This window comes from Homo sapiens, chromosome 6 (genome assembly GCF_000001405.40).
Source record: "Homo sapiens chromosome 6, GRCh38.p14 Primary Assembly".
NCBI classification, from domain to species: domain Eukaryota; kingdom Metazoa; phylum Chordata; class Mammalia; order Primates; family Hominidae; genus Homo; species Homo sapiens.
The window spans coordinates 21,359,735-21,370,111 of record NC_000006.12 but is presented as its reverse complement, the minus strand read 5'-3'; the positions used below and the strand labels follow the sequence as shown (position 1 = coordinate 21,370,111).

Below are 10,377 nucleotides of genomic sequence, written 5' to 3'. Positions count from 1 at the left end.
GCAATGACCCCTTATTGTTATAAGGCCGGTATCGCCTAGTCTTCATCTCTATATGCATTTATGCTAAGTACAGTTGTTCAATATGAAGTCTATAAAGCTTTATAAATTAACTGCTACAGAAGGCCTTGTTTGCTTCCAAAACACCCTTCAAAAGGCATCATAACCTGTATTCCTCATTAATGAAGGAAAAGCTGTACCACATTCTTTTCCTGTGCTTTTTCTAAGCATTCTCTGCATGGCATGGGTTCTTAATTGCTATACATCTCTCTCTCTCTCTCTCTTTTCTCTCTCCCACATGCAGGAGAGCAGACTTCACGGAGCTTGTCCACACCTTCCAGAGGATTTAGAGTCTTGCGGAAATTTATTCCTATTTTCCATCTCCTTAGCTGACATCTCACCCTCTGCTATGATGTCAATTAATGACTCCATGGGGATGGTCAAAACCCACGTCTCCAGCTGTGAGGTCTCTCCTGAGGTTCAGACCTACGTATTCAACTGCCTGCTTTACCTGGGCACCAAGGAGCTTCATCAAGAAAAGAGCCAGAAAAACATCTGAGACCCACTGATTGCAGAACACGCCTAAAAACGCATGGTGGGAAGTGAACACAGGAAGTAGCTTTATACCACAAGGAAGAGTACTCTGAAGCTGGCCCTCTTCTTCAGGGACCTTTGAAGGAAGGATAAGAGGCCATGGAACCGTGGAAGGGAGTCCCACTTGGAAGGGTAAATACAGAACAAATAGCCCCATTTTCTGAGGCAGAGGGGCCAAGAGAGATTCATTAGGGTTCGAGGAAAGTAAGAAAGGCTGCCCAAGGCTTGAATGAAGGACCGAGGGAGCTGTTCTATGGAGAGATGAATGCCTAATAAAACTGGAGTTGAGGCAGGCTGAGAAGGGCTTTCCCTCTCTTCTTCTTTTACTTGAACTCAGATGAGTTTTTTAATAAGCTCAATAGCATTCTTGTTAAGGATGACAGTGGAAGCAGTTAGCCAACACTATGCCATGCCGCGGGAGGCGGTAACCCTGAGAAGGATGGCCACCTCCGTGGGTGAACATCTGAAAAGGCAGACTTGGTCAGTGTAGTAATTGTTTACAAGCTTAAAGCTTTGAATTAGACTATTGATTGGGTTAATTTTCCATGGGATATTGGATTGGGTTTGCATTCCAACATCAGAGTTCATTAAAGTTGCATTGCAGTTGATTATCTCCCATTAAGAAGCCCGTTTTGAAGTTGCATTACTGGGAAATGTATGTGCATCGACACCTCCTACTTCCAGCCCTAAGAATGCAAATACAGGAGCTTCCTATTGATTTCATTGAATTTCACTAGGCAGCCGAAACCCACATTTTACTTTAAATCCCTATTCCAGTTTCTTGAAAAATTAGCGCCACTGTCAGTACTAGAAAGGGGCCGGAAAACTGTTGTTAAATTCTATGGGTCCTTCGCATAATCAACAAAATGTCATTTAATGAATAAAACTACTTTAAATAATAGTTCTAGCTAACTTAGCAAATATTCAATTCAATAACTTTTGAGGACAACTTCACTTATAAGTCTATTTGGGAGTTGGGGTTTTTGTTTGTGGGTTGGTTGATTTTGTATGGTTTTTGTTTGTATTATCCATATACTGCCATATGTATCTAGGTTTTTAAAGCTGTATTTCACATTGTAATCCAGGGGTAATACATCAAATCACAGAATCTGAGCTCTAGACAGCCATCTTTCTACATCACAAACACATTTAAGAAGGAAGAGAAAATCATCTTCTGAAAACATCAACTTAGCTTTGCAGACCTGAAAATCTCTCCCTCTCAGCCCTGGCTTTGAGCAATATAGGTGGCTTTCCTGTTTAAGGCAAAAGAGTACATTGAAAGGCAAATGAGAATTTCAAAGGAAGAGTTCACAACTTCTAAACTTTTTCTTTACTCTCTCACTTGCAAGAGATCAGGACTCCTGGAGATTTTAACCAAAGCTATTGAGAGGTGGAAAGTTCTCGCTTTTTGTTGTTGTTGTTTTGACTGTGACAGTGAACAGCCCATGCCTCAGAGTTACAGACACAAAGCAGGGAAAGTGAGCTCCCATGAAACCTTATGGGAGCTCTACCTTGTTTCTAGACTCTGGAAGCCACACACTGTCCTTCCTGTTTCCTTAATCATGAAATGACGAACAAGTTTAGGCAACACACAGGAGTCCCATGTTAGAGACTAAACATTCCAGAGTAAAAATATGCTTCATGTCACAGTGCATTTCACTAAGGCAAAGTGTGAACTCTGCTCACCCTGTCTGTATACTTGTTTGTAAAAGGTACACAAAGATGTACAAAGTGTACAAAAGTGTACAATGTTCTCTAATCAGAGCACTGGCCAAGCTGGTGGGCCTTTCAAACCACACTCGCCTTCCAGCCCCTCTTGGATCTCCAGCTCAAGGAGGCATGGCAATGACATGAACCCCAAAGACATGTTGTTATGGCCTTGGGGCTGTGATCCCAGATGCTTCCACGGCCATGCGTTCTCTTTGTTTAGTGTCTCAAAGCCAGAGACTAAAGAAAGAACCAGAAGATTAAGTCCTAGTCACCAGAAGCAAAGGTTCTACTGAAACACTTCTTGACTTGACAGGAGTTTTCTCCAGGAAGACTCATATTCAAGAAGACTATGGGAATGCACACTTCAGAGACTAAGCTAGCAGTAGGTTGGGAGTCCCTGGAAAGAAGATAATTTTCAAAGGTCAGAGCCCAGGCAAATAAGAGAGTCAATTCAGGGTCAGCTCAGTAGAAGTCAATACAATAGAAACATAAGATAAACCTTTCACAGAACCCAGACACAGATTCAGCTAACAGTGGTTCTCAGCCCTGGCTGTGTCAGGCCTCTGAGCCCAAGCCAAGCCATCGCATCTCCTGTGACTTGCACGTATACGCCCAGATGGCCTGAAGTAACCGAAGAATCACAAAAGAAGTGAATATGGCCTGCCCCACCTTAACTGATGACATTCCACCACAAAAGAAGTGTAAATGGCCGGTCCTTGCCTTAAGTGATGACATTACCTTGTGAAAGTCCTTTTCCTGGCTCAAAAAGCACCCGCACTGAGCACCTTGCGACCCCCACTCCTGCCCGCCAGAGAACAAACCCCCTTTGACTGTAATTTTCCTTTACCTACCCAAATCCTATAAAACGGCCCCACCCTTATCTCCCTTCGCTGACTCTCTTTTCGGACTCAGCCCGCCTGCACCCAGGTGAAATAAACAGCCATGTTGCTCACACAAAGCCTGTTTGGTGGTCTCTTCACACGGACGCGCATGAAATTTGGTGCCATGACTCGGATCGGGGGACCTCCCTTGGGAGATCAATCCCCTGTCCTCCTGTTCTTTGCTCCATGAGAAGGATCCACCTACGACCTCAGGTCCTCAGACCAACCAGCCCAAGAAACATCTCACCAATTTTAAATCAGGTAAGCGGCCTCTTCTTACTCTCTTCTCCAACCTCTCTCACTGTCCCTCAACCACTTTCTTCTTTCCACTCTTCAATCTCTCCCTTCTCTGAATTTCAATTCCTTTCATTTTCTGGGAGAGACAAAGGAGACACATATTATCTGTCAACCCAAAACTCCGGCGCCGGTCACGGACTGGGAAGGCAGCCTTCCCTTGGTGTTTAATCATTGCAAGGACGCCTCTCTGATTATTCAACCACATTTCAAAGGTGTCAGACCACGCAGGGATGCCTGCCTTGGTACTTCACCCTTAGCGGCAAGTCCTGCTTTTCTGGGGAAGGGGCAAGTACCCCAACCCCTTCTCTCCTTGTCTCTACCCCTTCTCTGCTTTCCTGGGGCAGGGGCAAGTACCCCTCAACCCCTTCTCCTTCACCCTTAGAGGCAAGTCCCGCTTTTCTAGGGGGCAAGAACCCCCAATCCCTTATTTCCACACCCCAACCTTGTATCTCTGCACCCCAATCCCTTATTTCCGTGCCCCGACCCCTTATTTCCATGCCCCAACCCCTTATTTCTGCACCCCATCCCTTATTTCCATGCCCCGACCTCTTATCTCTGCGCCCCAACCCCTCTTCCCACTTTTCTGGAAGGTAAGAACCCCCGAACCCCTTCCCTCCGTTTCTCTACTCTCTCTTTTCTCTAGGCTTGCTTCCTTCACTATAGGCAACCTTCCACCCTCCATTCCCCCTTCTACTCCCTTGGCCTGTGTTCTCAAAAACTTAAAACCTCTTCAACTCACACCTGACCTAAAACCTAAATGCCTTATTTTCTTCTGCAATGCTGCTTGACCCCAATACAAACTCAACAGTAGTTCCAAATAGCCAGAAAATGGCACTTTGAATTTTTCCATCCTGCAAGGTCTAAATAATTCTTGTTGCAAAATAGGCAAATGGTCTGAGGTGCCTAATGTCCAGGCATTCTTTTACACATCAGTCCCTTCCTAGTCTCTGTGCCCAGTGCAACTCGTCCCAAATCTTCCTTCTTTCCCTCCCGCCTGTCCCCTCAGTCCCAACCCCAAGCGTCCCTGAGTCTTTCTAATCTTCCTTTTCTACAGACTCATCTGACCTCTCCCCTCCTCGCCAGGCCAAGCTAGGTCCCAATTCTTCCTCAGCCTCCGCTCCTCCACCCTATAATTTTTTTATTGCCTCCCCTCCTCACACCTGGTCAAGCTTACAGTGTCCTCTGTGACTAGCCCTCCCCCACCCGCCCAGCAATTTACTCTTAAAAAGGTAGCTGGAGCTAAAGGCTTAATCAAGGTTAATGCTCCTTTTTCTTTATCCCAAATCAGATGGCGTTTAGGCTCTTTTTCATCAAATATAAAAATCCAGCCCAGTTCATGACTCGTTTGGCAGCAACCCTGAGACACTTTACAGCCCTAGACCCTAAAAGGTCAAAAGGCCGTCTTATTCTCAAAATACATTTTATTACCCAATCTGCTCCCGACATTAAATAAAACTCCAAAAATTAAATTCCAGCCCTCAAACCCCACAACAGGATTTAATTAACCTCGCCTTCAAGGTGTACAATAATAGAAAAAAGTTGCAATTCCTTGCCTCCACTGTGAGACAAACCCCAGCCACATCTCCAGCACACAAGAACTTCCAAATGCCTGAACCGCAGCGGCCAGGCGTTCCTCCAGAACCTCCTCCCACAGGAGCTTGCTACATGTGCCAGAAATCTGGCCACTGGGCCAAGGAATGCCCACAGCCCGGGATTCCTCCTAAGCCACGTCCCATCTGTGTGGGACCCCACTGAAAATCAGACTGTTCAACTCACCTGGCAGCCACTCCCAGAGCCCCTGGAACTCTGGCCCAAGGCTCTCTGACTGACTCCTTCCCAGATCTTCTTGGCTTAGCGGCTGAAGACTGACACAGCCCGATCGCCTCGGAAGCCCCATAGACCATCATGGACGCCGAGCTTCCGGTAACTCTCACAGTGGAAGGTAAGGCCGTCCCCTTCTTAATCAATACGGAGGCTACCCACTCCACATTACCTTCTTTTCAAGGGCCTGTTTCCCTTGCCTCCATAACTGTTGTGGGTATTGATGGCCAGGCTTCTAAACCTCTTAGAACTCCCCACCTCTGGTGCCAACTTAGACAATACTCTTTTAAGCACTCCTTTTTAGTTATCCCCACCTGCCCAGTTCCCTTATTAGGCTGAGACACTTTAACTAAATTATCTGCTTCCCTGACTATTCCTGGACTACAGCTATATCTCATTGCCGCCCTTCTTCCCAATCCAAAGCCTCCTTTGCGTCCTCCTCTTGTATCCCCCCACCTTAACCCACAAGTATAAGATACCTCTACTCCCTCCTTGGCAACCGATCATGCACCCCTTACCATCTCATTAAAACCTAATCACCCTTACCCCACTCAACGCCAATATCCCATCCCGCAGCACACTTTAAAAAGATTAAAGCCTGTTATCACTCGCCTGCTACAGCATGGCCTTTTAAAGCCTATAAACTCTCCTTACAATTCCCCCATTTTACGTGTCCTAAAACCAGACAAGCCTTACTAGTTCAGGATCTGCGCCTTATCAACCAAATTGTTTTGCCTATCCACCCCATGGTGCCAAACCCATATACTCTCCTATCCTCAGTACCTGCCTCTATAACCCATTATTCTGTTCTAGATCTCAAACATGCTTTCTTTACTATTCCTTTGCACCCTTAATCCCAGCCTCTCCTCACTTTCACCTGGACTGACCCTGACACCCATCAAGCTCAGCAAATTACCTAGGCTTTACTGCTGCAAAGCTTCACAGACAGCCCCCATTACTTCAATCAAGCCCAAATTTCTTCCTCATCTGTTACCTATCTCGGCATAATTCTCATAAAAACACACGTGCTCTCCCTGCCAATCGTGTCCGACTGATCTCTCAAACCCCAGCACCTTCTACAAAACAACAACTCCTTTCCTTCCTAGGCATGGTTAGCGTAGTCAGAATTCTTACACAAGAGCCAGGACCACACCCTGTAGCCTTTCTGTCCAAACAACTTGACCTTACTGTTTCAGCCTAGCCCTCATGTCTGCGTGCAGCGGCTGCTGCTGCATTAATACTTTTAGAGGCCCTCAAAATCACAAACTATACTCAACTCACTCTCTACAGTTCTCATAACTTCCAAAATCTATTTTCTTCCTCATACCTGACGCATATACTTTCTGCTCCCCGGCTCCTTCAGCTGTACTCACTCTTCGTTGAGTCTCCCGCAATTACCATTGTTCCTGGCCCGGACTTCAATCCGGCCTCCCACATTATTCCTGATACCACACCTGACCCCCATGACTGTATCTCTCTGATCCACCTGACATTCACCCCATTTCCCCACATTTCCTTCTTTCCTGTTCCTCACCCTGATCACGCTTGATTTATTGATGGCGGTTCCACCAGGCCTAATCGCCACACACCAGCAAAGGCAGGTTATGCTATAGTACAAGCCACTAGCCCGCCTCTTAGAACCTCTCATTTCCTTTCCGTCGTGGAAATCTATCCTCAAGGAAATAACTTCTCAGTGTTCCATCTGCTATTCTACTACTCCTCAGGGATTATTCAGGCCCCCTCCCTTCCCTACACATCAAGCTCGAGGATTTGCCCCACCTAGGACTGGCAAATTAGCTTTACTCAACATGCCCGGAGTCAGATAATTAAAATACCTCTTAGTCTAGGTAGATACTTTCACTGGATAGGTAGAAGCCTTTCCTACAGGGTCTGAGAAGGCCACCACAGTCATTTCTTCCCTTCTGTCAGACATAATTCCTCAGTTTAGCCTTCCCACCTCAATACAGTCTGATAAAAGACGAGCCTTTATTAGTCAAATCAGCCAAGCAGTTTTTCAGGCTCTTAGTATTCAGTGAAACCTTTATATCCCTTACAGTCCTCCGTCTTCAAGGAAAGTAGAATGGACTAAAGGTCTTTTAAAAACACACCTCACAAGCTCAGCCACCAATTTAAAAAGGACTGGACAATACTTTTACCACTTTCCCTTCTCAGAATTCAGGCCTGTCCTCGGAATGCTACAGAGTACAGCCCATTTGAGCTCCTGTATAGACGCTCCTTTTTATTAGGCCCCAGTCTCATTCCAGACACCAGACCAACTTAGACTGTGCCCCAAAAAAACTTGTCATCCCTACTATCTTCTGTCTAGTCATACTCCTATTCACCGTTCTCAACTACTCATACATGCCCTGCTCTTGTTTACACTGCCGGTTTACACTGTTTTTCCAAGCCATCACAGCTGATATCTCCTGGTGCTATCCCCAAACTGCCACTCTTAACTCTTGAAGTAAATAAATAATCTTTGCTGGCAGGACTATGCTGAATCTCCTTAGGCACTCTCTAATCAGATATCCTGAGTCATCCCAATTCTTAGACCTTTTATACCTGTTTTTCTCCTTCTGTTATTCCATTTAGTTTCTCAATTCATCCAAAACCGTATCCAGCCCATCACCAATCATTCTATATGACAAATGTTTCTTCTAACATCCCCACAATATCACCCCTTACCACAAGACCTCCCTTCAGCTTAATCTCTCCCACTCTAGGTTCCCACGCCGCCCCAATCCCTCTCGAAGCTGCCCTGAAAAACATCGCCCATTCTCTCTCCATACCACCCCCCAAAAATGTTCGCCGCCCCAACACTTCAACACCATTTTGTTTTATTTTTCTTATTAATATAAGAAGGCAGGAATGTCAGGCCTCTGAGCCCAAGCCAAGCCATCGCATCTCCTGTGACTTGCACGTATATGCCCAGATGGCCTGAAGTAACCGAAGAATCACAAAAGAAGTGAAAATGCCCTGCCCCACCTTAACTGATGACATTCCACCACAAAAGAAGTGTAAATGGCCGGTCCTTGCCTTAAGTGATGACATTACCTTGTGAAAGTCCTTCTCCTGGCTCATCCTGGCTCAAAAATCACCCCCACTGAGCACCTTGCGACCCCCACTCCTGCCCGCCAGAGAACAAACCCCCTTTGACTGTAATTTTCCTTTACCTACCCAAATCCTATAAAACGGCCCCACCCTTATCTCCCTTCGCTGACTCTCTTTTCAGACTCAGCCCGCCTGCACCCAGGTGAAATAAACAGCCATGTTGCTCACACAAAGCCTGTTTGGTGGTCTCTTCACACGGACGCGCATGAAAGGCTGTACATTAGAATCACCTGGGCTATGCTTTCATCCAAATTCAATACACAACGCTTCTCCATACCAGTCGAGTCCAAATTTGCGGGTGGTGGGGGGACATGGGTCTCTACATTGAAAATCTAATTTAACTCTACTTTGAAGTCAGTGTTGAGAAGCGTTGAGCTAAAGGTGTTCTTCACTATTTCCAGCTTGTTCAGGTAGTTGTCCCTTATCATGGATAGTGAGAATGTTACCCTAGGGAAGGACAGGGAATGGATCCCCTGGCTAAAAGGGGAGTGAAAGGAGGCAGATCAAGTTAGAATTTGATGTAGACACTTGGACAGCTGTATAACCAACCTGGTTATAAAAGGAAAGGAGACAGCCAAGGGGCCTATCTGGGTGACCTGCTGACAAATGTGGGGTGACCCGGTAGTGGCAGAGACACCTACTGTGAAAACAGATAAACAGCCCACTGCTGTTCTGGTTGGACTGTGGCAGAAGCTCAAACCAGAACAGCACTTTACTGAGGAGCCTCAGGTTCAGCCCACTGCCCCTTCCTCCCACAGAGCAACGGCAAGTGCCGGCCCCTTCAGATTAGGATGAAGGCCAAAGCCCTGAAATCCCAATCAGAGCAATGGTGGCCAGGGTGTCTGGGGGAACCAGAGGCCACAAGTAGAACTAATTATATATTGGTCACTTAAGAATTGAACCAGATTGCGTGCCCTAGTGGATACTGGAGCTGGATGCACCCTCATATATGGCAACTCCCATTGGTTCCAAGGGCCTATGTCAGCAATAGATGGTTATGGAAAGAGGCCATGGAAGTCAGACAGGTTGAACTAGTTTTACAAGTTGGGAGACTGCCACCAAAACTTTGTTGATATACATAGCTCCCATCCCAGAATATATCTTGGGAATGGATATCTTATCAGGCTTGACCCTCCAAACAACTGCTGGGGAATTCCAAATGACAGTTAGAGTGGTGAAGCATGTGATGGGCGGGGAGGGGAATGCAAAAGCAGTGAGTAGTAGCACTGGAGCAACACCGCCTGCTGGTGGGGAGAGAGGCAGGATGAAACCACGAGGACCACGGGGGAGTTAGCCCGGGTAGGCATCATAAGGCCAGCGCACAGCCCATGCAACAGCCCTGTATGGCCCATACAGAAACCTGATGGTACATGGAGAATGACAGTAGATTACTGAGAATTAAATGTGTGCAGCTGTTCCCAATATCGCCTCCTTTCTGATGAGGGTAGGAGAGATGCTGGACACATACCATTTTGTTACCGATGTAGCCAACACCTTCTTCAGCAACCCCATTGCACCAGAGAGTCAAGACCAATTTGCATTTACCTGGAAAGGAGAACAATGGACCTTTACTGTCTGCCCTAGGGATATTTGCCTAGCCCCACTCTGTCCCTGCCTAGTGGCTGAGGATCTTGGTATATGAACTGCCCAGGAGGGGGTACATGTTTTCCATTACATTGGTGATTTCATGCTAACTTCTGAGTCTTCCTCCAGCAAACTGCAGCCACCACCTTGCTGTCTCACTTGGAAAACAGGATGGGCAGTCAACAGAGACAAACTCCAGGGTCCAGGCTTGTCAGTCAAATACTTGGGTGTCCTCTGGTCAGCTAAGACTAAAGTTGTTCCATCTGCCATTGTGGATAAGGTGCAGGTCTACCCACGTCCTACCATACCAAAGCAGCTGCAAACCTTCTCAGGCCTTCCAGGGCATGGGTGTCTTTTTATTCCCCATTTGGCCCAAATCCTT

At 46.5% G+C, this 10,377-nt stretch overlaps 5 annotated features.

The window, feature by feature from the left end:
- Window positions 1,550–2,100: an enhancer, noted in NCBI's record as "NANOG-H3K27ac-H3K4me1 hESC enhancer chr6:21368243-21368793 (GRCh37/hg19 assembly coordinates)". NCBI's record gives its function as "activates a minimal SCP1, AML or CMV promoter by ChIP-STARR-seq in naive H9 embryonic stem cells {active_cell/tissue: H9 hESC(naive)}" and the evidence as "EXISTENCE:reporter gene assay evidence [ECO:0000049][PMID:30033119]".
- Window positions 2,101–2,653: an enhancer, noted in NCBI's record as "NANOG-H3K27ac-H3K4me1 hESC enhancer chr6:21367690-21368242 (GRCh37/hg19 assembly coordinates)". NCBI's record gives its function as "activates a minimal SCP1, AML or CMV promoter by ChIP-STARR-seq in naive H9 embryonic stem cells {active_cell/tissue: H9 hESC(naive)}" and the evidence as "EXISTENCE:reporter gene assay evidence [ECO:0000049][PMID:30033119]".
- Window positions 2,654–3,205: an enhancer, noted in NCBI's record as "OCT4-NANOG-H3K27ac-H3K4me1 hESC enhancer chr6:21367138-21367689 (GRCh37/hg19 assembly coordinates)". NCBI's record gives its function as "activates a minimal SCP1, AML or CMV promoter by ChIP-STARR-seq in naive and primed H9 embryonic stem cells {active_cell/tissue: H9 hESC(naive and primed)}" and the evidence as "EXISTENCE:reporter gene assay evidence [ECO:0000049][PMID:30033119]".
- Window positions 7,482–8,296: an enhancer, noted in NCBI's record as "OCT4-NANOG-H3K27ac hESC enhancer chr6:21362047-21362861 (GRCh37/hg19 assembly coordinates)". NCBI's record gives its function as "activates a minimal SCP1, AML or CMV promoter by ChIP-STARR-seq in naive H9 embryonic stem cells {active_cell/tissue: H9 hESC(naive)}" and the evidence as "EXISTENCE:reporter gene assay evidence [ECO:0000049][PMID:30033119]".
- Window positions 8,297–9,112: an enhancer, noted in NCBI's record as "OCT4-NANOG-H3K27ac-H3K4me1 hESC enhancer chr6:21361231-21362046 (GRCh37/hg19 assembly coordinates)". NCBI's record gives its function as "activates a minimal SCP1, AML or CMV promoter by ChIP-STARR-seq in naive H9 embryonic stem cells {active_cell/tissue: H9 hESC(naive)}" and the evidence as "EXISTENCE:reporter gene assay evidence [ECO:0000049][PMID:30033119]".